Raw genomic sequence first — 27078 nt, forward strand, 5'->3', positions numbered from 1 at the left:
AGAATTGCTTGAACCCGGGAGGCACAGGTTGCAGTGAGCCGAGATCGCGCCACTGCACTCCAGCCTGGGTGACAGAGCAAGACTCTGTCTCAGAAAAAACAAAACAAACAAAAAAAGAAAATATATTTTTGATTGTGGTAAGTACCATGGAAAAAAATGAAAAAAATGAAGCAGGATGGGGAGCAGGAGGTGTGAAACTGAGATAGAGGCAGTGGGGTTGGACAAGAGACTTTGCAATTTTAAACAGGGTGGCCAGAGACAGCCTCACTGAGGATATTTGAACAAAGACCTGAAGGAGGTGACAAAGTGACCCAAACAGATAATGGGGGGAAAAGTGCCCCAGAAAAAAAATACGAGAGCCCTAAGGCAGAACTATGTTCCAGGAAATAGCAAGGAATGTGGGAGCACTTACTCTTTTCATACTTCCGTAATTGCAACACCCAGTTACTCTAAAATCTTCCATTGGCTTCTCAGTGCTTTGAGGGCAGAAATCAAATTTTATTCATCTTTGTATCCCTAACCCTTAGTTGTTGAGTCATGAAATTGTTTAAGCTACAGTATTATTACATTATGAGAATACAGATATGCACTATCTCTCCCCCTACATCCCTCGCATAAAGCAGCTCCTGTGTGTTGTATGGCGATAAGATTGCTGCCTACCCAATTAGAAATCCCAACGATCCTAGACTCTTCCTCCTTCTACACCCTCGACATCCAGTCAGTAACTAAATCCTGTCAATTCTTGTTTACATCATTATAGTGGCCCCCAATTGGTCTATTTTGCTGCAGCCTTTCCTCCCAGATATTTCAAATGAAAAAGATAATTTGCATTCATTTCTGGATATATTAGGTAATTTTAAACTCTTGACCTCATTTTATATGTAGCCTACATGTTTACAGAATTTAAGCCAATCATTACATGTTTTCACTGAAATTTGACCCTGGCAGTTTTTATAATTTGAGGACTACTAGAATCATGAAGTTCAATGGTTAGTACTGAGGTCCAACAATGGATCTGCACATGCCTATCACCCTCACCTTCATGTTCCTAGAAATTCAAACTAAACAGCTTGCATATTCAATTTTCCTTTGTAATTTCAATTGGACATGGTATTCTTCACTTTCCATTGTGAAGTCGGCTGCCCAGTGTCAACAGCTGCTAGGTCTCACCACCTCACAAGTAAGAGATGGCTTTCTATTTCAAACTATGCAATATTAGTTAATATACAGAATGGGTATACATAGGTGCTTACTAATTGGCTACAGTATGGAAGGGTGTGTTCTCCAGTAATAAAGAAAATCTTATCATTTGTCTAATTCACTTACAGAATTACTCTCTCAGTACATCTTAAGCACTCTGTAGTAGAGACAGGATTTGGATTTTCTTTTTTAAATCCCAGATTTCAGTGGTATCAGCTTGTGACCTGAGTAATCTGTTTAACCTGAGCTTCAGTTTTCCTCATTTCGTAAAATGAGAATAATTATATTCTCACTGGGTTATTGCAAGAGCAAATGAAATCATGTGAAAGTGCAAAACAAATGCTAGTAGTTGTTACACATCGCAAAATGGCTCAGAGCACGGGTTTTTGTCAGAGCTTTTTGAAGCTACAGGCGATTCAAAGTCAGTACCTACACATTTAAATTATCTTAATAGATAAAAACAAATAACTATTGCGGGGAGACGATAAGAGTTTAGATCTTCCAAGTACCAAGCGTATATTCTTGCCAGAAATCGTTGTGTGTCGGGGGCGGATGGGGGGTGGGGGAGGCCGGGGGTATTCTACTCATACGTGGTTTCATACTCAGTGAAATCTCAAACAATAACTTGCTTTAAACAGAGAATAATTAATGGCGAGTTTGCAAACAATAGCATTTTGGCAGACAGTTCTTAAGTTCAGTAAAATGTGCAAAAACCTAAGCAAGGTTTTATGTGTATATAAATCTTGTCTTTTATTTTTTAAGACAACCCTGAAGTTTTCTGTGGAAACCAGAAAGGGCAAGAAATTGGTCTTAGGTTGCTCAAGGAAACTGGTACTCACTTGTACCCTGCGGCTATACATTATATACAGGAAAAGGAGGAGGGATCCAAGGAGGGCGTGGAGCTCCTGTGCGTGGTCCATTAATTCACATTTTGCTCTCTTCGGTTCACATCCTGCGCGGACTCCACCCAAGGCAACCGAGCGAGGGGGTGGGTGGGACTCACAGCCTACCAAATAACAGTCCCAGAAACCGAAACGAAATCGAGGTGGAATTCTGAAAACACGGCTCACCAGAAAGAGGGGTGGAGAAGGAGCGCGAGAGGAGACCCTTCTTTTGGCAGAAGAGGTATCCCTGGCCCTCGTTGCTTCCTGGGCTCCCCCCCATCCCCTCAATCGCAAACAGTTCCCTCCTTTCCTACGCATGGAAGAAGGAAGACACACACAGAGCAAGGCCACTCATCCTTGGAACGTGGGCGGAGAACACACAAGTATTCCTCAGAGAATTTCAAAAGGAAATCGAGGAAAAGCAACCTGGGAGAGGAGGAGGAAAGGAAACTGACTGCCAAGTGGGGGACCCGCGAGACGGTGGAAAGGAACTAAGCAGATAGCCTGCTGGGGCCTGCGCCCCAGGAAAGAAGGGCTACCTGTTGAATGGAACTGTCCCTGCGGAGGCGGAGAGGGAAGAAGGCGAGTCACCCCAGAGAGCGGAGCCGTTGTCCCTAGAGCAGCCTCGCTGGGGCTGGTGGCGAGGGATCTCAGCCCCAGTGCCTGCGGAGCCCCACCCTGAGAAGCCTTGGCTGCAGATACGGTGATGAGAGACACCGACAGAAACAAGGGAGAGGCGCACGACTGGAGCCGGTCTGGCCTGCTCCCGCGGTTAGTCACTCACATCTGATACTCGTCTATCGCCTCCACCAGCTGGCCCCAAGAGTCGAAGTCGGCGCCTCTCCTAAAACTGGCGCCCCAGCGCTGCAGCAGACTCCGGGTCACCTCCGACATGGCCGGTCCCCACCCCGTCCCCTCCCGCCCCTACCCCAGCAAGGCCGGGTTCTAGGGCGCCATCCTCCCCCGGCCTGGCCCCGACATTAACAGGGCCAGGAGGAACCGCTACGGCCACCACCGCCACCCGCCGAGGAGCCGCCCAAGCCCATTTGCCGCCACAGCCAAACTTTGCGGCTCCAAAGCGACCGCCCCGCCGAGACCCCGCCCCCGAGGCCCCGCCCCGGGTTAGGTTGAGGCCGCCCCACTGCGCCGAGGGCCGCCATCGCTATTGCGGCATTCTCCCTCGGCTCCGGAGGTAGGGGCAACTCTTCTCTTCCTGTCTGGGAAAAAGACCATAGCTCAAAAGGAAGGCCGAGGGAGAAGTTAGAAAGGGATGATGAACGAAGCGTTTTGAGGGGACTGCAACGCCGCGGCAATACCCGCCCCTGAGCTGCGCGCACTACCGCCTCGGTAGCTATCATGGCCGCCGGGTCACGTGACTCCGGCTTGGCGCCGTCCTGGTTTTCCGTCACCCTGGTTCTGTAGTCTCGGTTCTCCGACTCCCTCTTTTTCTCGCTTGTGGACTCCGATATATTGCCCTTCTTCCCTTAGAAGAACTGCTGAACCGACTCTGAGAAATTTGGTAAGTATGTCAGAGGATGGGTGTTTCTCAGTAATATCCCCCGCTACTTCCCCGGAGTCTCAAGCAATAGGATCACCCCCTTTTACATTAGTCTCCATAGACCCCTGGACAGTGGACCAAAAGTCTCCTTCTAGTGCCTTGAAACAAACGACAGAAAGAAAATCCATATTGGTCACCACAAATCAGTGGCATTAACAGCTAGATCCGCTGAATCCCCTTGCCCCGCATCTCCATTGGTCATTGGAGAGCTTATAATACAAGCTAAACTGGGGTTCGTTCGGCCGTTGTCTGGCCACCTCTCCCGGGTTGACAGTATCGGCTTTCCACAAAAATGCCTGTTTGGAAAGAGGGGAACTCAAGTGTTGGCGCGTGCGCACGGTCGCCGCCCGCTGCCTCGAACGGGACTGGGCACGGGAGGAAGAGGCTGGGTGGTAAACAGGAAGTGGGCGCTCAGAGCTCGGGGGCGGCGCTCAGGTAGGTTCCTCTGGGGACTCGGGGCTTCCGGGGTGGGGGTCCCTTGTTAGGAGCGGGAGTCCTCTTGTGGAAGTGTGTTAGCTTACAGCTTCGATCCGAATGTTGTATTGGTGGCTCTAAAGGCACCCTTGTCCCTGCGGGTGGGTGTGTCGTTCTTCTATCCCACCCTAGGAACTCCCGAAAACTGAAGACCGCCGGGTCGCAGAAGGGGAGAAGATGGGGCAGGGGCAGAAACCCTCTTCTTTCCTGAAGTAAAGATTCGCAAAACTTCAGACATTTTCATCCAGGAAGTAGGAGGCCGCATTAAAAGAAGTATTTGTGGAAGATTTCGCAGCCTCAAGTGCTGAGTGTGATATTATTTGTAGGCACATAGATGCTGTATTAGGCTATCGGAATTTATATGGAAGATGTGTAGAAGATGATATTTTCTGAAATAACTCGTTAAATGTTTTGAGTCCTAAATAAACCTGCTCAGTTTTTCGTTGGGTACACACTGTATTCTCTATTCATTAAGTATGTGGTGCTCCTCAAAACCAGCTTTGTCATGAATAAATAGCATAAAGGAAGCACTTAATGTAGGCATTTCATACACTGTACAGCCACCATTATTTTCTAATACTAGGAAAAGTCGATTGTCAGAATTTTTTAGTGCCTTCAAATTAAATGAACCTTATCAGAATTTTTTCTCAGTTACTTCCTGGAATCTAATTGCCATGTTTAGGTCTTCGCCTGGGCTTTCTCCTTATTATCTGCTGCACTACCTACCCAAGGACATTTAGACAAGACATGCTGCTTTTTTTTTTTTTTTTTTTTGAGACGGAGTCTCCCTCTGTCGCCCAGGCTGGAGTGCAGTGGTGCCATCTCGGCTCACTGCAAGCTCCGCCTCCTGGGTTCTCCTGCCTCAGCCTCCCAAGTAGCTGGGACTACAGGCGACCGCCACCATGCCCGGCTAATTTTTTTTTTGTACTTTTAGTAGAGTCACCGTGTTAGCCAGGATGGTCTCGATCTCCTGACCTTGTGATCTGCCCGCCTCGGCCTCCCAAAGTGCTGGGATTACAGGCGTGAGCCACCGCGCGTTTTTTTTTTTTTAAGTAGAAGGCATGGAACTTAATTTTTTTTTTAAGTTGGCATCTCACTTAGGTGGTGTTCCAAGTTTTTGTTTTTTGTTTTTTTTTTCCTTTTTCCTTTTTTGAGATAGGATCTTGCCCTGTCGCCCAGGCTGGAGTGCCATGGGGAGATCAGGGCTCACTGCAGCCTACGTCTCCTGGACTCAGGGGATCCTCCCTCCTCAGTCTTCCCAGTAGCTAGAACCACAGGCGTGGCTACCATCCCCGGCTGATTTTTGTAGAGACCGGGTCTCACCATGTTGCCCAAGCTAGTCTCAAATTCCTGAGCTCAAGCGATCCACCCACCTCGGCCTTCCAAACTGCTGAGATTACAGGCATGAGCCACCATGCCCAGCCCAATGTTTTCATTTTATAATAGAATTTATTGATCAAGTATTGTATTACATTTTTATTTTAAAAATATTCTTTAGGTATTTTTTGGAAAGTACATTTTATTGTAGAACACATGCTATAACCAATCCACTGTTGTCAGCAATATGTCGGAAATACAGCAGTTAACTTAAAACGTATTACAAGTAGCCTTAGCGATATAATCAGGGTTACCATTTGAACCCGTTTTGGAAATTACGTTCATCTGGTCCTGTGCCCTTTTTACTTGCAGTTGTCCAACCAAAATCTAGTACTTTGCTATTCAAAAGTGTCTGGGGACCAGCAGCATCAGCATCTCAGGTCCTGCCCCAGGCTATTGAATTAGAGCCTGCATTGGACAAAACCACCCACCCCCAGGTGATTTTTATGTATATTACAGTTTAAACATTACTGCTCCTATATATGTATGTTAACATTGAAGTTATTGTGGGCAGATTTTCAAATGCTCTTCTGCTTTTTTTTATAGGCCTGATCTGAACATAGACCACCATAAATAGACAAAACATAACCTGAGGCCGGGCGCGGTGGCTCACGCCTGTAATCCCAACACTTTGGGAGGCCAAGGCGGGTGGATCACTTGAGGTCAAGAGTTTGAGACCAGCCTGGCCAACATGGTGAAACCCCGTCTCTACTAAAAAAATAACAAAATTTAGCCAGGCTAATTTTCGAATTAAATTTTTATACTATTGAAATAAATTGTTATGCTATTTACCTTGTTTATTAAATATTTTATATTTAATTTTTGTATATTTTTTACTTTTTTGTCTATAGAAAACATCTGGAGAAAATGACCCATTGGTTTCATAGGAACCCATTAAAAGCCACAGCTCCTGTGTCTTTTAATTACTATGGTGTAGTCACTGGCCCTTCTGCTTCAAAAATATGCAAGTAAGTTTATTGATTGAACCACTCTTAGATGCAAGGTACTTTTTTTGGTTCCATGGCAATACAGAAATATGTAACACACTGTTTCTAAGTTTGTTATAAATTTATAAATGACATTTAAGAGTTAAATCATAGATTATTTAAATTTGGCAGTCTTCTACGCCTGGATCCTTAATTTTAGATCAGTAAATGAGTCCCAGAGAGGCTAAAGCAATCACAGTAAAACAGTTAATCTGTATATTACAACAGTACAAGGGACTCTACAAAGTAGTGTATGGACATTTTTATTTTTTATTTTTATTTTTATTTTTATTTTTTGAGATGGAGTTTCACTCTTGTCGCCCAGGCTGGAGTGCAATGGCTTGATCTCGGCTTACTGCAACCTCCGCCTCCTGGGTTCAAGCAATTCTTTTGCCTCAGCCTCCCGAGTAGCTGGGATTACAGGCACCTGCCACCACGCCCTGGTCATTTTTGTATTTTTAGTAGAGACGGGTTTTCACCATGTTGGCCAGGCAGGTCTCAAACTCCTGACCTCAAGTGATCCACCTACCTTGGCCTCCCAAAGTGCTGGGATTACAGGCGTGAGCCACCATGCCCAGCTCTATAGGGACATTTTAAATTGGCCACATATTAAACTTCTTGACTTCAGAATAAGGAGAGATCCCTGTGACCTGAAATGGCCTTCAAAGTGTTCACACAGGAAAAAGTACTTGAGATAGGCCTTGAATGAATTGTATGGCTTAGATCAGGGGTTGGCGAACTGTGTCATATGGATTTGGACCATTGCTTGTTTTTATAAATAAAGTTTTATTGGAACACAGCCAGCCCCACATTTATTGACATACTGTGTATGGCTGCCTCTGGCTGCTTTCCTCTACAACACCAGAATTGAATAGTCCCGGTGGATACCTTATTACCAGAAAAGCCTGAGATGTTTACTATTTGGCACTTTCCAAAAAAATATTTGAGTATTCTTGATTTAGATTGTCAGAGGGGAAAGGAGAATGTTATTTCTGTCAGGAAAACCTTTGTGCTAGTGATAGTGAGTAGAGCAGTTTGGCTGAAACAAAAGAGATAAATGCAAAAGATGTTTTGAAGGAGGAGTCAATGGACCTGATTGACTAATTTGCCTTGGGAGGCTGAAAAGGATTCAGTCTATATGAGATACAGAATCTAGATGATTAAGACATTGGTGGTACCAATAAAGGAAAATCTGAAGAGTTGCCGCTTTTATGGGAAGAAGCGATGACAACAAAAGATAGGATAATTGGCTTATTAATCTAAACCAATGGTCATCAAACTTTTTAAAAGCTACATAGTATTTATTTTAGGCTTTGTGGTCACATACAGTCACTGTTGCATATTATTCTTCGTTCATTTTTACAACCCTTTTAAAAATATGAAAACCATTCTTAGTTTGAGGGCTGAATGAAAATAAGCTGCGGGGTATACAAAAACCGGTTATAGTTTGTAGTTTGTCAAGCTCTGATCTAGACTCCTGGAGGCAAGTCCCGACTTAGCTGTTTTATCTATACCATTGGGCAAGTCCCTTAACTTCTTTGGGCCTAATTCCTAATCTATAAAATGAACAGCCTAAATTAAATATATCTGAGGTACATTTTTCTCAAATTCTGTAATTTAAGATGAATATAACTTTACAAGTTGAGCTGTAGGTGATGATCAAGCATCAGTATGGAAATAGCTAGCCAACTATTTGAGTGCAGAATAGGCTTTAAGGATTCAAATTTCTGCCTAGTCCAGGAATTGAATCACTTTCCAGCTTCTAGAGAAATATCTCAAACAATGATTAATTCATAAGATAGCCAGTCACATTTTCAGTCAGCTGTTTGTAATTGGCAATACATACATACTTTCTTGGAATAAGCCTCCTTAGAGTTAGTACTAATCAATAAGACTCAAGGGATATACCATTCAGGATTAAGTCTGTGCTCTCTTCTAAACATCACTGCTACCTTATAGTCTAAATCTCAAAAGAAAATATTTGAAAAGTTATTCTTTTTCCACTCAACAAGTAATTTTGAATATGTGCTTTATCCTAGGCACCTACCAAATTCTGGATATACAGCCTCTACTCTCTTGGTGCTTACCATTTAAATTTAGTCTTTCTTTAATGGTTTACACATATTTCAAGGGTCTTTGGTCATACCCATGTATTGTAATTTCGGAAGCCTCACTAAGCTAATTGCCTTCTGGATTCGATTTGGAACTGGAATAGAACCAAGTGAAAGCTAATGATGGAGATCTAGGAATTGATATAGTTGAAGCTATACTAATAGGTGAGATCTCAAAAGAGAGAAAACCAGAAAGCCAAAGACTGAACATTTCTGGAGTTGGGAATGAAAAGGAGACACAGAAAAAAATATAAAAGGAACTTAAAAGAGACAAGGGGAGCACCTGGAAAATTTAGTGTTATTGGAATCAAAGGAGAAAATAATTTCAAGAAGGAAAAGGTGGATCTATAACATTTATTGCTATAGAGAAGTAAAGGAGAATGTAGATTAGGGAGCAGTTTTAAAACAACTGATGGCCACGTTTTACATATTCTTGATGTATATGTTGAATTACATGTCAAGGATATGTAATGTAATTTCATTTTTTAAATATTTTTATGCAGTATATTTTCACATTTTTGTGTTTTATGTCAGATTTAGAAACTTCAAGGAGATATTAAAATGATACACAGATAAATTTTCATTTTTCAAGAAACTTATTGTGAACTGCTTAGTTTTTTATTCTTCTTTCCCCACATCTTAAGTGCATGCATTTGTTTGATTGTTTTTAATTAAAACTTGACATATATTTTTATTATGTAATTGAATTCATTATTTGCCCCTTTAATTGGTCTGAGTTTATTTTACTACAACTTTTAAAACAGTTATTAGAAATTTTTTCTCTAGATTTAGTCCTGATTAAATTCATTTGTTAATCCCTTAGAGGAGGTAGGCATGTGCATGCGTGTGTGTGTTTTAAAGCTTTTACATTGAAACCTGGTGCGTGTGTGTATGTGTGTGTGTTTTAAAGCTTTTACATTGAAACCTGGAAGCCACTTTTATGTAGATTGATTGCAGTACAGCTAACTTTACTGTCTTTTTGTATCTCTTATAAGTGACTTGAGGTCATCCAGGGCACGACTCCTTGAACTGTTCACTGATTTGAGCTGTAATCCAGAAATGATGAAGAATGCAGCAGATTCATATTTCTCACTTTTACAAGGTTAGTTATTTATATGAACTTGAGGTTTTTTAAAAAACTGTCTAAAAGTTTACATTTAATTCTTTGACTTTTCAAATTTGATTAGTTTACTCTTCCAGACTGTATTCTTTGGAAAAGAGCAAGAAGTTTCATTCAGACACCTGGAAAAGTAATCTGAAAATTTTTCCAAACAGAACACTCAATATTTCTTCTAATTCTTCTAAAACTAAAATGTCTTGTACTTTTCTATAGGTTTCATAAATTCTTTGGATGAATCTACCCAAGAAAGCAAGTTACGATATATTCAAAATTTCAAGTGGACTGATACATTGCAAGGACAGGTTCCAAGGTAAGCAACACTAAAGTAATACTAAATTGGAGCCAGTTTTTGTAACTATGTAGCCAGTGGTTAACTCATAGCCTTTGTATTTGGAGAAGAAAAATACAGGTCTGCTCAGCGTTTTCTCTTACCAGGAAATTAATTAAAAGCATTTTACCTCAATCCTAGTACATAATAAAAATATAATTTGTTTCTCCCAACCAAATCTATTTTTGAGGTAATCAATACAGATGTTAACTACAGTTGAACAGCCTTGACCTTTAATAACACACAAAGGATGATTTGAGGATTTAGAACCCAAACTGACATTCCGTATGTGCCTACATTCAAGCTGAGCAGAATTTAAGTTTTTCCCTTACTTTTCTTTTGCTGATGGATACTTCATGTCTTCCATTAGTCTTTGTCTCATTCTTTCTCTCCAACTCCATACTCTTGATTCACAGTATATTTTCTTCATTATCTCTCTTCCCTATTTCTACTCTTTTTAAAAACTTCTCTTCAGAGCTTTCTTATCACTCACTTGAAACTATTTGTAATAGATCTAATTATAACGAAACAGATCACAATGGTGTTAATTTTTTACTTACCTACTGTTTTTCAACACCATTTTGTTGTTGAAATGCCCGTATATTTTAATCCCAATTTGCTTTAGAATTACTATTTTATAAAAACAGAAAGGAAGGAGTGGAGGTTGCTGAAAGACCAGAGCAGACTGTACATTACAACGAAAAGAGTATGAACATTGGGTTTGTACATATTTAGATGCAAGTCCAGGTTTTCTACTGCATGAACATCTGCTTCTTCAACTATATCTTGGGGCTACAGATAGAGTACTTTGTGAGAAGCAAAATAAGAAAATTTTTGTGAAGTGACTGACAACAGTACTAGGCTTATAAGACATTCATTAAATGTTCATTTCCTTTCTTCCTTCCTTGGCAATATTTTATGTCGAATTCATAATATTCTGGGATACTCAGATTTTCTAAGACCTTGTTTTCTGTTTTTTAATGTGACCCATTTGTTTTTAATCCAAAATTAAGCAATTTTTTTAATTAAAAAGACTTTTTTAAAGAATCAAACCTCTGTCATTATTTTGACAGATTCTATAATGTGTGCATTTCATAAATTTGGCATTTTTCCGACCATGCAACATTTTGATTCTGTGTAATAGTGAGCTAAAGCCGGGCACAGTGGCTCACGCCTGTAATCCCAACACTTTGGGAGACCGAGGCAGGCAGATCACTTGAGTTCAGGAGTTTGAGACCAGCCTGGCCAACGTGGTAAAACACTGTCTCTACTAAAAAATACAAAAATTAGCTACGTGTGGTGGAAGGTACCTATAATCCCAGCTACTTGGGAGGCTGAGACAGGAGAATCGCTTGAACCCAGGAAGCCAAGGTTGCAGTGAGCTGAGATGAAGCCACTGCACTCCAGCCTGGGCGACACACCGAGAGTCCATCTCAAAAAAATAAAAAAATTTAAAAGTGAGCTACTATTTAACCTTTTTTCAGCAGTTTTATGAGATAGTGAAGAATTATGTGATGAAGACTTTAATACTAAATATTCAGCACAAGTGAGACTTCTAAGTTACTTTATTCTTGATTGCTGCTTACTCAGTGGAAATCGTGTTGTGAGTTTATCTGTTCTGAAAAATATTTTTTCCATTATAGTTACTATGACTACTACTTTTATGTGGTGTCATAGAAATGGAGTGTTTGGAAACAAGGCATGTTAAATGAAGGATTATAAAGGAAAAGAGTTACTCATGAGACTTCACTAAATTAGCCAAACTGTTATATTATTTAAAAGTTATAAATTAGACATGTCCACTAGATCTCCAGATGTAATTCATTTGATAGTTTCAGTGCAGAAAATAATAAGCTATTAAACTATGTATTAAATTTTTTTCAGGAGGATAAAACTGTTTTGAGAAGTTTGTTCATAACTGTCATTTTTGGATGTTATAATCTATACTAAAGACAGTTTAGAAATTATTTTTTAATTACTACATATTTTATAACACTTTTTTTTTTTTTTTTCATTTAAAAAGTTGCCATATCTCCATTTATCTTAAGACAGGGGCAACAAGTAACTAAAAAATAAAAAGTAGAATGATAATTCTGGTTTCTTCTTTTTGGGTAGCTTTTCTGTTTCTTAGTATTACGTGTGTAAAATAAGGATATTCTGCTTTCTTCATCAGTTGAGATAAATGAGATCATGTGTAAAAAATTTTCAGGTTCTTCTAAGAACAATAGTGAATATATATTGTTATGAATATCTTATTTGCTTGATATGCTTTTGCCATCTTTATTTCATACTTCATAATAGAATCTGAAGGAAACAAGGTATAAAATATACTTGTGTTCAGGACCTTTTTCTGGAATACTGATTGGCTAGGCATTCAGAATCTTATACAGTTTGCCTTCAGCTTGCTTTTTGCCCTTCTTTTCCTTGATTTCTTTTTTACATACCTTCTGCTCCAGTCAAGCTCATTGGGTCACTTCTACCAGAAAATTTTTTATACTCCTCTTGGGCTTTGATGGCATTGTTTCCTCACCTGGGATGTCCTTTTGCTTCCCTTCTAGTCATCTTTCCAGGGACAGTTCAGATTTTATATATACCATTAAACCTTCTTAATTATTCTAGCCTGAAACAATCTCTCCTCTGAATTTGATTTTTCTAAAATGTTGTATAAGAGCCACACCTTTGAGAATCGACTGAGTACTTGTTAAAAATACGATTCTAAGCCCCATCCCAGGCTTTCCGACTCTGGGATTAAGGCCCAGAAATCTGTATTTTAAAAGCTGCTCTATGTGCAGTAAACTTTGGGAGCTCCTATTCCCATGCTTATTATTAAGTACATAGTACCTTCTGGACCATTATACTTAGCCATTTGTAGTTAATTACCTGTACATCTTATCTCCCCATCTATATTAAACACAACCATTTTCCTCATACATACCAGTTAGCATATACTTCTTTGTAATTTTGAGTCGGATATCCAGTAGGCTTCATGGTGTGATGTCTGGATAATTGACAGAACTTAATGATCATGTTTATAATTCCAGTGCCCAGCAGGATGCTGTTTTTGAATTAATTTCCATGGGATTTAATGTAGCTTTATGGTATACCAAATATGCTTCAAGACTGGCTGGAAAAGAAAAGTAAGTTAATAGGAGAGGATTGTGTACATCTGTGTTATTTTTCAAGTATGTGGCGCTTCATTATTTTAAAAATCTATTTTAAAAAGTACCACTTTGGATGTTTGAAGGATTGCCTTGTAATGTTAGTATTTTGAGTGTCAGAATTATGGCACCTAGCGTTAAGAGGTAAAATAAATTTTAATAGTCTTGTCATATGGAAGGTCTTGCTAAGTAAGACCCCAAATCAAGAACCCATAAAGTAAAAGCATGACTATTTAACTACATCAAAGGACCGTAAACAAAGTTAAAAAACAAATGACAAGATTGGTCAAAAACATTGCAATTCATATGATAAATTGTTTGTTTTTATAACGTATACTCTTATAAATCAGCAAAGGAAAGACCGTCAAATCAATTGAAAAGCAAAGGACATGAACAGGCAATTCACAGAAAACAAGTACAGAAGGCTAGCAGTATGTGAAAAGATGTTTTGCAGGATTAAATAATTATAAAAGGTGATACAATTTTTATAATAGCTATAGTGGATACAGCAATAGGAAACTGTCAATTTATGGTTCATCCATACGTGGGAATAATATGCAACCACTTGAAAATGATGTCAAATTGTATGTGCTGATGTAAAATTATCTCTAAAGTAAATTAGGTGATTAAAATAAGAGCAGAGTAATGATTATAGCTACCATTGTGTATCTATGTGTTTCTTAAGCATGTATATGCATTAAGTGTGTAATATTTTGTCTTGTTTATATACAAATGTCTGTAAGGAAAAATAAGGCTTTGTCTGGATTTTATTTTGTTTTGTTTTTTGTAAAGTTGAGTTCTCACTATGTTTCCTGGGCTGGTCTTGAACTCCTGGCTTCAGGTGATTCTCCTGCCTTGGCTTCCCAAAGTACTGGGATTACAGGCATGATCCACCATGCCTGGCTGCAGATTTTACACCTAGTTAGGGTCTCTTTTTTTTCATTTGTAGTATCTTCTTTTTGGAGACATATTGACATGCTTTTGCCATCTTAATGTTACCTTTATGTCATATACTTGTTTTCAAGACCTTTTTGTGGGATACTGATTGGCTTAGCATTCAAAATCCTTTACAGTTTTTACTAATTTCCTATAAACGTACATTTCATATGCATTTGCTCCTTTTCTAGGTGTCAAAATTAAATTTTTTTGGTGGCGGGGGGATGGAGTGCCGCTCTGTCGCCAGGCCAGGCTGGAGTGCAGTGGCATGATCTCGGCTCGCTGCAACTGCCACCTCCTGGGTTCAAGTGATTTTCGTGCCTCAGCCTCCCGAGTAGCTGGGATTACAGGTGCCTGCCACCATACCCAGCTAATTAGGGTTTTGCCCTGCTGGCCAGGATGGTCTCAAACTTCTGGCCTCAAGCAACCTGCCCGTCTCGGCCTCCCAAAGTGCTAGGATTACAGGCCTGGCCTCAAAATTAGATTTATTTTTAAAAGGAAGAAAATTAGCAGTGAGAAACATAAATGACTACTTTGGATGTATAATAATGTATTGGTTGTTGTGTTTTAATACCAGAAATGGAATTCATCCTCTAACTAATGTAACCCCTATCTTTAAGTATAACAGAAGATGAAGCAAAAGAAGTTCATCGAAGCCTAAAGATTGCAGCTGGGATTTTTAAACATTTAAAGGTAAAACAAACAAACAAAAACCATTATTTGTTCTTAATGCTTTAATTCTTGAATAATTTTTCTTTTGGGAGGATATGGGGAAAGAATTGTTTCATTATATTAAAAAAGGTACTATGTGTTCTGTTTTCCTTATGTTAAGTATGTTATTGATGAGTGCAGCCAGTTACTAAATATTAAATGTCTCCATTTTTGTTTTAAAATCACCAGTGACTTTTACAATTAGAAAACTTAAGTTTTAGTGCTCTGCTTATTTTTCTGTGTCTTTGAAAAGACAGGAGAAAAGAAAGTAGAAGTATTGATGGTTCTTACCTACCTCATTGCTCTCCACAGAAGTTACCAGGAGCAGTCCTGATTCTGCAAAACTGAACTTCTGAGTGTATGCTCTGTATCTCACTAAAAACTTTAGAGTGACAATCAGTGCACTCTAATTGTATTAAATTGCCAGGAGATGTGATGGGAATTAGGAGAAAGAATATTGTGTCTTTTAAACAATGTCCCCCTACGTCATTCTAATTAAATCACTTTATTGAAGGCCTCCTAGAGGCCAGTGTTGATTTTTTTCATATTAAAATATAAGATGCTTTTATAGTGATTAGAAAGCTCTGATCCTGAATTAGATGTAGAATTGTAGTGGGGTTTTTTTTCTTTGAGACAGAGTCTTGCACTGTCGCCCGGGCTGGAGTGCAGTGATGCGATCTTGGCTCACTGCAACCTCTGCCTCCCGGTTCAAGTGATTCTCCTGCCTCAGCCTCCCGAGTAGCTGGGATTATAGGTGCCTGCCACCACGCCCAGCTAATTTTTTGTATTTTTAGTAGAGACGGGATTTCACCATGTTTGCCAGGCTGGTCTCAAACTCCTGACCTCGTGATTCACCTGCCTCGGCCTCCCAAAGTGCTGGGATTACAGGTGTGAGCCACTGCACCCAGCCTCTTTATATCTTTAATTATTAATGTGAATGAACAGGCTATCCCGCAAAAGGAATTTTGGTTACTATTTCAGTTAACATTTTTCAAGATGATAGTGTGACTTGCGTATCTCAGCAGTCTATCATGACTTAAATTTTGCTCTTGAATTTCTTGTTCTTATAAAAGCTGAGTTTTAGTATACAGGAACTTTTATTTATAAGCTTACTGTTGTTAGTTTTTATAGTTTTTGTTTATACTCTGAATTTCTGCTAAGCCTCCCAGTTGAATGTCTCATAACTTTCATTTTCTTCATCTCTAACAACTGGATTAAAATAAAATTTGGCTGCTTTGTTTTTTGTCTTTTTTGTTGTTGTTCTCAGGAAAGTCATCTCCCAAAACTCATTACACCTGCGGAAAAAGGAAGAGATTTAGAGTCACGACTCATAGAAGCATACGTTATTCAATGTCAGGCTGAAGCTCAAGAAGGTATCCTAAATATTGTAAGATTTTTTTAAATGAAAGTCTATATTGTCATTGAATTCCTCTTTAAAAATCAGAAGTTGGGCACTGTGGCTTATGCATGTAGTCCCAGCACTTTGGGAGGTCTAGGTGGGCAGCTCACTTGAGCCCAGGAGTTCAAGAACAGCCTGGGCAACGTGGCAAAACCCCAGCTCTACAGAAAATACAAAAATTAGCTGGGCATGGTGGCACATTCCTGTAGTCCCAGCTTCCCACAAGGCTGAGATGGGAAGGATCGCTGGAGCCTGGGAGGTCAAAGCTGTAGTAAGGCAAGACCGTGCCACTGCACTTCACCCTGAGCAACAGTGTGAGACCCTGTCTCAAAACCATTAATTAATTAAAATAAAAATCAGAATTAGCCAGAATCAGGCTTTAGATTTTGAGAAATTTTAGAATGAGGAATAAGTTTACCTTTAGCATTTGCCTTCACTCTTAGTTAGCAGGAAAGGCCTTACAGTTTAATGGCTCTTTTTAAGAGGATTTTTATTTCATGTTATTTCTGATAGTACAACATTAATTCTTTAATTCATCTTTTCTCTCTACTGTGCTCATTCTTTTTTCTCTTTCACTCGTTGGCTTACCTTAATGTCTTCACCTTTCAATGGCAAGTAATAATGACACTCAACGTGAAACAATTAAGAAACTTTGTAGGCTTTCGTTTTTCTTTATTTCAAACTCTAGTCTTCCTCTGAAAATGGCTGGGCTGGTGGCTTATGCCTGTAATCCCAGCAATTTGGGAGGCCGAGGCAGGAGAATTGCTTGAGCCCAGGAGTTTGAGACCAGCCTGGGCAGTATGGCAAGACCTCCATCTCTACAAAAAGTTATTTAAAAAATTAGCCAGTTGGCTGGGTGTGGTGGTGGCTCACGCCTGTAATCTCAGCACTTTGGGTGGCCGAGGCAGGCAGATCACCTGAGGTTGGGAGTTCGAGACCAGCCTGACCAACATGGAGAAACCCCATCTCCACTAAAACATACAAAATTAGCTGGGCATGGTGGCGTATGCCTGCAATCCCAGCTACTCAGGAGGCTGAGGCAGGAGAATCGCTTGAACCTGGGAGGCGGAGGTTGTGGTGAGCCGAGATCGTGCCATTGCACTCTAGCGTGGTCAACAAGAGTAAAACTCCATCTCAAAAAAAAAAAAAAGAAATTAGCCAGGTGCCATGGCATGCATGTGTAGTCTCAGCCACTCAGGAGACTGAGGCAGCAGGATCACTTGAGCCTGAGAGTTTGAGGCTGCAGTAAGCCATGATCAAGCCACTGCACTCCATCCTGGGTGACAGCAAGACCCTGTCTCAGAAAAAAAGAATTTGCTGTTAGGTCATGCTGTTTTGTAATAGTGATTCTCTATGATTAGCTGGTAATTTGCTGATGATTTATTTAAAGAAATGGCATTGGAACCAACAAACTCAGTGTTTTTTTGTTAATGTTTGCATTTTCTATAAGTTTGCACGTTAAAACGTTTAACAAACTGTATTAAAATCCCAGAGAGATTATCAGACTGTCTTTTGCTATTATAATTGAATTTAGGATGAATAAAGTGAGCTTAATTATAGATTCACTTTATTGTGTTTGGTTACAGTAACAATTGCTCGAGCAATTGAACTAAAACATGCTCCTGGACTAATTGCTGCACTGGCGTATGAAACAGCCAATTTCTATCAAAAAGCTGGTAAGCTTCTAATTCTGTCGTTACATTTTTAGTCTTTAGATTTTCAGATTTATTTGATCTTGAATAGGGAACAAAACAAAAGGGTTCTCAGATTCTGTCATTATTTGCAAAACTGGAGTAATATTTTATTTATTGCATTTAAAATAGAGCTGTTCATGTTTAGTATGCTGCATAACTTCTAATGGAGGGGAAAACCAGTGATGTCTCATAAAATTATACAGCTTTTTTGCTTAAAATTTTTTTTTAGTGTTTATAACAACCTTATAGTTACTATGCTTTAGACAAGAATCCAAAATCCAGAGAGTTAACATGACCCATAATTCAACTGCTAGAAAGTGGGAGATTGGGCGTAGAACACAGCTCCTGTGATAAGCCTATTACTCTTCATTTACTTATTTAGGAAACATGCATGTGTTTTTATTTATGGGATAGTTACTGTTTTTGTTGCTAAGGAGAGGTAAATAGAAAAGATCTGCAGTTTAGGGAAGAAGACAAACATGTAACCCCGTTATTATATCCTGAAGTAAGACATCACAGCGGCGAATTAGGAACCTTAACAAGCTGGGCATGCTAAAGAAGGACTCTAGAAGAAGATGCTTTAGCCTTATTGTGAAGTGTAAATAAAAGTCTTATGTTCCCTAGGAAGCTTTAGAGTTTGGGTGTAGAATTCTATAGTAAGTACAGACATAAGAAAGAACTTAGCACATTCTGGAAACTTCAGACAGTGACCTGAAACACAGGATGAGTGGTAGGAGAAGAGTTTGAAAAAGTATGCATGCTTGGAATCAAACACTGGTTTGTAAGCCATTCTGTAGATACTTGGGAATGTATCTACATTAAAAGCCTGACTTGATTGGATTTGAATTTAAGAAAGGTCCCTATAGTTGCAGTATTAGAGATAGGCTTGCTACATGAAGGAGTAATAGGCTAACTTAACTTAGCACTTAAGAAATTCTTAAAGTTTATGAAGGAAATGATGAAAGCTTTGGCAAATACAGCAACGTAGCAAATAGGAAAAAATAGATTTGAGAGATGTTTGGTAGAAGGATATGTGAGTGAATGTGTGTGTGTTTCACATAAAATTCAGTGATGGGGGTAGAGAGGAGAGTATCCTATTTCTGATTTGAGTGACTAGACTACTATTTGTTTTGCTATATTATATAAGTTTTTTAAATTAGCTAATATAACGGTATAAACAGTATTCACCTTGAAGTTCTTGGTCACAATCTGTTTTTATCATTATCTTTAACTTAAAGTTGTATTAACCATCAAATCAAAGAGCTGCCATAGTATTTAACCAATCTTATGTAACTTAAAGTATAGATTTGGTAAAATCAAGTAAAGGTGTTTTTAAAAAAAAATTAAATTCTTGAGTTTTAGACTTGAATGGCATTCTTTCTGCTTTTATCATCAGAACACATGAACTAAAAGTCTTCTAGTGAATCAGGGCGAAATTATATTTTGCTTTTTAAAATGTAACTTTAGATCATACTTTATCCAGTTTGGAGCCTGCATATTCTGCCAAATGGAGAAAATATCTTCACTTGAAGATGTGTTTCTACACAGCTTATGTAAGTATTCACAACGCTAAAAACAATGTAAATTATTGTTTCTCCAGCCCTTGGAGTGCCAGGTCTCTCATCTCACCAGAGTCTTTCATTAGCATTTTACAAATAATGGACAGCTAACTCTCAGTAAATGTTCACTGAGAGTCAGTGCAACCATTGTGAACTAAAGTGGGTGGAAAGAGATGATGTAGGATTGTAGAAGTGGATTATAGCAATAGAATTATTGTTTGATTGAAAACCCACTTGCAGCATACTTAATGAAATTCTTTCAATTGTTTCATCCTGTGCATTGAGAAACATATTTACTAATTCTAATATTAAGGCATATCACACAATATATCACCTAGCTTAGTGAAGAACCATCAATAAACATCATTTTGGAAGTTACGTATCAGTCTGTTATACCCACCAAACTTAATTGTTTTGTTAATTAGAATATCATATGAGAGATCATCAGAAACCTTTTTCAGGTCTGAGTAGATAATATTTCTTATACCTCCTTCTTCCTATGCATTAGCACAATAATTTCCTCCTTTATCTACTATTTCCTAATTTTAAATACAGATTTCAGCAAATAACTTTTTCTCAGTACATGGTTAGAAGGCTGTTTGGGCTCAAGACTTGACATATTTCCACCTTTTCTATGAACAAAGGTTGGGGAAGAGCTAAAATGTAAGGGATTGCATTGATACTTCAGTGTATGAAGGTACTAATTTATCTGATAGATACATAAAACAATAGGGGAAAGCATCTTGAAGGGAGAGAATGAATAAAAAATTTGTTTATTTCATCAGGCTTACTGTTACCATGGTGAGACTTTATTGGCTAGTGATAAATGCGGTGAAGCAATCAGGTCTCTCCAAGAAGCAGAAAAATGTAAGTTTTCCTGCCAGAATATTAACTCCCCTTTAAAAAACAAATGACTTTATCATAAAAGGGAATATATGCTTAAAGAGATTTTGGCTGAGTTCATGAAAGGGAAATGGGAATGGGTGACATAATTGGAGAAAAGAAAAAAATGTTTCAGAAACCTAGAACCTGTAGAAAATACACACCTTCTACTTACAGTATTATTATTGGTATTGCTATTATATTAGGTAAAGAGCAGTAAATGTCTTATCACCTCCAGTTTAAAGCCTTGTAGGGATAAATAGGCAGTGTTAATTATAATCAAAAGACTTTAAATCTCTTTCACATGCAGTGTATGCAAAGGCAGAAGCACTGTGTAAAGAATATGGAGAAACCAAAGGACCTGGACCAACAGTCAAACCTTCAGGACATCTGTTCTTTAGGAAACTTGGAAACCTTGTGAAGAACACCCTAGAAAAATGTCAGAGAGAAAATGGATTTATGTGAGTACAGTTTAATATTACTTTAGTAATAATATTATGTTGATTTATGATTATATTAAAATATTAATATTTTAGTAATATCATTTCTGTTAGTCTCTATTCCCAAAAGTTTTATGTTGAATAGCACTCACTCATGGGCTAGGCGTGGTGGCTCACAACTGTAATCCCAGCACTCTGGGAGGTCAAGGAGGGTGAATCCCTTAAGCCCAGGAGTTTGAGACCAGCCTGGGCAACATGGCAAAAACCTGTCTCTACAGAAAATACAAATAAATTAGCTGGGCATGGTGGCACACGCCTGTAAATCCAAGCTACTCAGGATGAGGTGGGAGAATCATCTGAAGCTGGGAAGTCAAGGCTGCACTGAGCCATGATTAAGTCACTGCACTCCCGCCTGGGCAAGAGTGAGACACTGTCTCAAATATATATAGTATTTATGTTTCACGTTAATTTTCTCTTTAAATTCGTGATAAATTTCAGTTGTGTAGGGCCTTTTATTCTACTTAGGATGATAATATATAAAAGCAGACTTTAAAATTAAAACATGAGTTATTAACGTAGAGTTAACTTCATTAGGACACTCACAGTGTCCTCATTTTCTCTTAACTCTGTTTCCCTGCCATTCTTCCTCCATATGTTTTAAATACATCTTCTCAACCTCCTTTGCATATTCGTCTCACTCTGGTTTCAGCTACCTATAAAGAAGGAAAATAAATTTTCTCTCCAGTTTTTCTTGCTTTTTTTCAAGAGGTTTTCCATTATTAAATCACTGCTGTTCAAATTGTAGATCACCTTCTGTGTAGGTGGGTAGACTCAATCTCCTTCCTGCTTTTATGTCCTTACATTCTTCCCCTTATATTCTTCATCTAGTCATAATGAGCTTTTCACTTCCTTAAGCATGCCTAGTTCACCTTTAATCACTTCCTTCGGAAAGAGTCACTGAACTTAATTCTGGGTTAATTCCCCTTGTCTGCATTCTCATGGCACTCTACATCCATGGTAGCTCCAATTACATTGCATTGTAATTGACAAAAGTTTCTTGACTTTTTCACTTTCCTACATAAGGCAGAAAAACCTCTTATCCATCATTAAATTGTCATTGTCCCAAACAGGACCTTGAACATATTAGGCACTCAAATAACGAACAAATGAATGAATTGCTATTTAAATTATTTTTTGCAGTTACTTTCAAAAAATTCCAACAGAAGCCCCACAGCTGGAACTCAAAGCAAATTATGGTCTCGTAGAGCCTATACCTTTCGAATTTCCTCCTACAAGTGTTCAGTGGACACCAGAAACATTGGCTGCATTTGATCTCACCAAAAGACCCAAGGATGACAGTGTATGAGATTGTTTTTTTTTTTCCCTCTCATTCACAAAAGTTTAAAAGAAAATTCAGAGTTAGCATTTTGATATTTTTCTCTAAATAGATACATATCTTTGTCTAAATGTTAAGTTAGCTAGTTATATAGTGCTTAATGTAATCTGTGGTAGAACATTCTCAGAGATAAGACCTCTAGGCCTTAAATGTCTTCTGATTTTCTACATAATGACATTCTTTTCAACACATTATCTTGCCTCTTTACAACTTGTCAGTGCCTCCTTTAAGAAGAATGTGGGAGAAAAGATCATCCATGTTTATACTGCTATAGCAATACTCTGTTTTTGTTTTAGCAAATTGCAGAGCATTTGCAGATTTGGCCTAATTTCAGTATTCTGTGAATCCAGGTGTAAAATAAGAGTGCTTTTATTTATTGGTATCTAAGTACATCTTGGTGTTCTAAATCAAATAGTAAATTAAGTGGAAATTTTGAGGTCTAACTACCAAAAGACTAGGGATCTGTGACAAATGAATAAGAATTATTTTACAGCCATTGCTCCTTTCTTGAGATTGAGTTGTGTTTATATAATTTCCTTTCCATATTAAAATTTATTCCTTAAAATAACTATCTTTATATTCTGTTCAGCTATAAAATAATGCCCTAAGAGATAGCCTATTGCTGTCATAAGTTATGTCTAAGCTTTAGGGTTCTTTTCTTAATTATTATTATTATTATACTTTAAGTTTTAGGGTACATGTGCACAATGTGCAGGTTAGTTACATATGTATACATGTGCCATGCTGGTGTGCTGCACCCATTAACTTGTCATTTAGCATTAGGTATATCTCCTAAAGCTATCATGTATAGATAGATCACTTAGAAAAAAGTATGGAGTAGGAGTACCATTAGCTTGGTTTTTGCCTACCAAACTAGGTTTTCATCTCTACTGAAATGTTGTTTTCTGATTATATCTTAAAATGAATTGGTCTGTAGTTTCTGGAAATAGCTTTGTCAGTATCCATGTTATGTAATTTAATATAGCATCTTTTAAAAGTCTGAAGTGGAAAAGATTTAGTGTTTGTTTTCTCAATCTTAGTTTATGTACTTAAACTGTGGTTTTTTTCTCCCTAGACTAAACCCAAACCAGAAGAAGAAGTGAAACCTGTGAAAGAACCAGACATCAAACCTCAAAAGGACACTGGGTGCTACATCTCCTAAAATACAACTTGCACTTAGAATTTCTCTAGCAGTAAATAAGATAAACCACAGAATTTCAGTTCTTATTTCTCAAAATGATTTCTCTGAAGCTTGTAGAATAACTATTATATTCAGAGGGTTATCTGCCTTCAGCTTACTTGTTCTTAATTTTTAATACAGCGGAGATGTTTCTTGCTTTGTTTTCAGACTCTCCTTTTTAATCAGGACAACATTTGAAAGATTTTATTGTGCCTCTAAAGGGTATATTTGGGGGTTGGGTCTTTTTGTTAAACTCTGGATAGTAATAAGTTTCAGGTCAGTATAGGCCCGAATCATGTGGTTTCAGGTATGTTTTTCTTTTTTCTTTTTCTTTTTTTTTTTTCTTTTTTTTTTTTTTTTTTTTTGAGGTGGAGTCTCCCTCTGTTGCCCAGGCTGGAGTGCAGTGGCATGATCTCGGCTCACTGCAACCCTCCACCTCCTGAATTAAAGTGATTCTCCTGCCTCAGCCTCCCGAGTAGCTGGGATTACAGGCACGCACCACTACACCCAGATAATTTTTGTATTTTTAGTAGAGACGTGATTTCACCATGTTGGCCAGGCTGGTCTCGAACTCCTGACCTCAGCTGATCTGCCCGCCTTGGCCTCCCAAAGTGCTGGGATTACAGGCGTGATCCACTGCACCTGGCCTCAGGTATGTTTTTCTATCTACACACAAAAAGTTTATTTTCCTTCCTCTTATTTGATATCAGAAGAATGACAGGAATCAGTTTTTAACAGAGATAGTTTTTCCGTTTCTCCATTGTGTTAATCAGAGCGCAGACTTACATTCTCAGTCATTTATCTTTTCTGGTGGAGAATAAAAAGTCACTTATAGTTAAAGATCAGAAAATTATCACACCAAATCCATTACATATGTTAGAATCAATAATTTACTCAAAAATCAGCTTTTATAGGTATGTTGGCACCTTATCCAAGAACTTATCCCTGTTCCAGTACCCCTGTGCTTCATTCAGTATCAGTAACCCTGCAATGATTTTTACAAATATCTTTTTCTAGTGGGTTTTTTACTTAGAGGAAAGAACTTTGTAATAGCTCTTAATGTTTATATATAAGAGAAGACAGAATGGAAAATGTTTTTTGAAGTCAAATATTGCATGATGTAAAGAAAAAACTTTAAACTTAAATGAGTAGGTTGTCCTGAATTACACTGGTAACTCTCTACTTCTTTATTAAAGAAGTTATAGTAAGATGCCTTTGTTACCTGATTTCAGTGTACATTGTTTTTATGTGGTTTTCTGATAATGTCCTGTCAGAATTGTATTGGTTTAGGCCAAAGGCCATAGCAAAAACATAGAGAACAAATATGATCTTAAAAATAGATTGTAACATTTTAAACAATTAGTTTAGTAATTTGGGAAATAGTGGATGCATAATACTTTAACAGAAGTCACACATCTGTAGGTTTATCTTTTGATTATTCTCCTGAGGCATTAGATAGTTTTTCTATTATAAGTGACAGATTGACTCACTTAATATAAATAAGTAGCATACACTAAAAGCTTACTATGTGCCAGATACTGTGCTGGACACTTACATAGATAAGCCATTGAATCCACACAGCAGCCCTGTAAGAAATAAGTAAAATCTGCATAAAGTGTTGAAATAGGAATATACATTTCATTATGAAAAATGAATAGATTATGCCTATCTGAATCAATATTGCATTCAAATAAGTGATTACTTAAATCATATATCATAGTTTACACTCCTTAAAAAAAGGTACATAAATTCAGTGAGGTTTTTTTCTTAACATACAGAAGTACTAAATACTGCTTGCAGTATAATATTGATATTGGAAGCTGCAGTTTCCAGAATAAGTGGAGTAATAACTAAACAGACATTTAATTTTATTTCAATATCTATGGAAAAAACACTTATTAAATCTCCCTGTATTTTATGTTGTCTTTATTACAGAATCACTTGTCTGTTTGTTGTGTGCCACTTACTGACAAAACTTTAAACAGTACTTGATGCCAGCTCTCTACTCTGTGGCTGTGGGACCTGTTTCTTTTAGGTACTTGTGCTTATTAATCTACTTACTAAATTTTCACATTGACATTTTTGGGGATGATACTACCATATACGAAATGGAAAATGTAATATGCTCAGTGCTTCTGTAAAATGCAGCAATACTGGTATTACTTTACATCAGTAGGCATCTTTGACATGAGCATATAAATATTTTGTTGACTCAGCAAAGGTGACACTTTGTGACTAAAGTATCCCATTATATATAATGTTTTTTGAAATGTTGGAAATTTTGGGGAATTATCAAATGTATAGAAGTTGCATGAAGGTTATAGAGAGGTGTAACTGTTTGTTAACTATTACATGGATTTCATACTAGGCAGTGACAACTAACATGTTACTTCAACTAAAAGTGTATAATGGGTTGTCTTTTTATTTATGAAAATAAAAGTAATTTTACTTACAATTTCATTGAGATCTTTTGTTTTTCGACAAATATTTTTATACTTACTAAGCCAGTAGCAGTTAAAACAGTGCAAAATTATTCTTCACAGTAATGTTTTAAAATGACAGATAACCAGGCATGGTGGCTTACGCCTATAATCCTAGCATTTTAGGAGGCTTGGGCAGGAAGATTGCTTGAGCCCAGGAGTTGAGACCAGCCTGGACAACGTGGTGAAACCCTGTCTCTGTAAAAAATAAAAAATTAGCTGGGTATGGTGGCACGTGCAGTGAACCACAGTCATGCCACTGCACTCCAGCCTGGGCGACACAGTGAGGCCCTGTCTCAAAAAAAATAAAATGACAAACATTTGCATCAATTGTTTTATGCTTCATGGGTTCATTAAATATTCAACGCTCCTTGTTCAGTTTCTACTTATGTTTATTGGCACCTATCACTTCTTAATCTCAAAGGATTTTGATTGGCCTGTTTATGTCTCGTGCTTAGTAATAGCCAACATGATACAGTATTTGTACTATGGTACGCTAAGCTAAAGAGTGTATCATTATCGCTGTACAATAATCTGTAGAAAACTCTATTCCTTGCAAACTTGAGGCAGCACTTTTAGCGTTGTATAAATGCATGCAGAAATAATACCATATTCAGAATTCTTTCAGAATTAGAGTACTCATGCTTTAGAAAATACTGGGTTTCTTATCTCTTAATGTGTGTAAAATAAACTTGGAATGTCACTTTGGGTTACCATAAGTTTGTATCTAAAGATTTTATTTGACATTTGAATAATTTGCTTAAAATTTAAATATTTAAGAATGTTATAGTAATAAAGGGATCAAAATAGTTAATCTGGAAGGGGAGTTGACAAATTATAAAACAGAAAACTATATTTGATTGTGCATATCCAAAAAGCCAGAGCTATCACTTCAGCAATTTAATGTATCTAATGCCTGTGATTTGCTTGAGGTCGGTAGAAGCTTATATAGTCACTTTCAGAGCACTCCCCTGAGAAAATGTCAAGACTTGAATTTGCTTCTCTAATGCAGAGCTTCTCAAGTAGTTTGTCTCAAGCTATTGATCGAAGCCTTCTGGGTGTCTAGCTGGGCAGCACTTAAGGTGGCTGGAGCTCCCAGGCTGGTCGCCTCCAGAATTCCAAACAACTAATTTTCTCTATCTGCCATGATGTAAAAAATGCTGTGAAACACCACAGTGGGACAGGCATGGACAGGCATGCAGGCA

At 38.1% G+C, this 27078-nt stretch overlaps 2 protein-coding genes across 22 annotated transcripts in view, besides 4 other annotated features; one reads left to right on the top strand and one right to left on the bottom strand.

Moving 5' to 3' along the window:
• AIDA (axin interactor, dorsalization associated) overlaps positions 1 to 3152 on the bottom strand; it is a 44479-nt gene extending 41327 nt beyond the window's left edge. For both annotated transcript variants that reach the window (NM_022831.4, XM_047428100.1), the window contains exon 1: positions 2869 to 3152. In NM_022831.4, the coding sequence (NP_073742.2) occupies positions 2869 to 2978 (110 nt within the window). In that variant the 5' untranslated portion in view covers positions 2979 to 3152. The remainder of the gene's footprint in view (positions 1 to 2868) is intronic.
• Positions 2920 to 3834: an enhancer, noted in NCBI's record as "OCT4-NANOG-H3K27ac hESC enhancer chr1:222885601-222886515 (GRCh37/hg19 assembly coordinates)". NCBI's record gives its function as "activates a minimal SCP1, AML or CMV promoter by ChIP-STARR-seq in naive and primed H9 embryonic stem cells {active_cell/tissue: H9 hESC(naive and primed)}" and the evidence as "EXISTENCE:reporter gene assay evidence [ECO:0000049][PMID:30033119]".
• Positions 3033 to 3252: a silencer, noted in NCBI's record as "silent region_1835". NCBI's record gives its function as "represses an Ori minimal core promoter by ATAC-STARR-seq in GM12878 lymphoblastoid cells {active_cell/tissue: GM12878}" and the evidence as "EXISTENCE:reporter gene assay evidence [ECO:0000049][PMID:35858748]".
• BROX (BRO1 domain and CAAX motif containing) lies at positions 3225 to 25848 on the top strand. 20 transcript variants are annotated; one of them, XM_047446853.1, is made up of 15 exons: positions 3225 to 3603; positions 4249 to 4367; positions 5806 to 5930; positions 6345 to 6461; positions 9586 to 9692; positions 9924 to 10020; positions 13080 to 13175; positions 14753 to 14825; positions 16111 to 16216; positions 17829 to 17918; positions 19404 to 19489; positions 20281 to 20362; positions 20688 to 20838; positions 22018 to 22177; positions 23289 to 25848. In XM_047446853.1, the coding sequence occupies exons 4-15, from the start codon at positions 6361 to 6363 to the stop codon at positions 23373 to 23375; spliced, it is 1236 nt and encodes a 411-aa protein (XP_047302809.1). In that variant the 5' UTR covers positions 3225 to 3603; positions 4249 to 4367; positions 5806 to 5930; positions 6345 to 6360; the 3' UTR covers positions 23376 to 25848. The 20 variants fall into 20 exon arrangements, 19 of the variants coding, with proteins under 19 accessions (XP_047302809.1, XP_016855863.1, XP_047302845.1 ...); XM_017000374.3 differs by having other exon boundaries at positions 4249 to 4328; XM_047446864.1 differs by lacking the exon at positions 3225 to 3603 and adding an exon at positions 4036 to 4077.
• Positions 4203 to 4422: an enhancer, noted in NCBI's record as "active region_2582". NCBI's record gives its function as "activates an Ori minimal core promoter by ATAC-STARR-seq in GM12878 lymphoblastoid cells {active_cell/tissue: GM12878}" and the evidence as "EXISTENCE:reporter gene assay evidence [ECO:0000049][PMID:35858748]".
• Positions 10046 to 10215: an enhancer, noted in NCBI's record as "experimental_5205 CRE fragment used in MPRA reporter constructs". NCBI's record gives its function as "activates a minimal promoter by MPRAs in K562 erythroleukemia cells, with activity observed for both the introgressed and non-introgressed 1:222892812 variant alleles {active_cell/tissue: K562}" and the evidence as "EXISTENCE:reporter gene assay evidence [ECO:0000049][PMID:34662402]".

The sequence above is a fragment of the Homo sapiens genome, chromosome 1 (assembly GCF_000001405.40).
Source record: "Homo sapiens chromosome 1, GRCh38.p14 Primary Assembly".
Classification (NCBI taxonomy): Eukaryota; Metazoa; Chordata; class Mammalia; order Primates; family Hominidae; genus Homo; species Homo sapiens.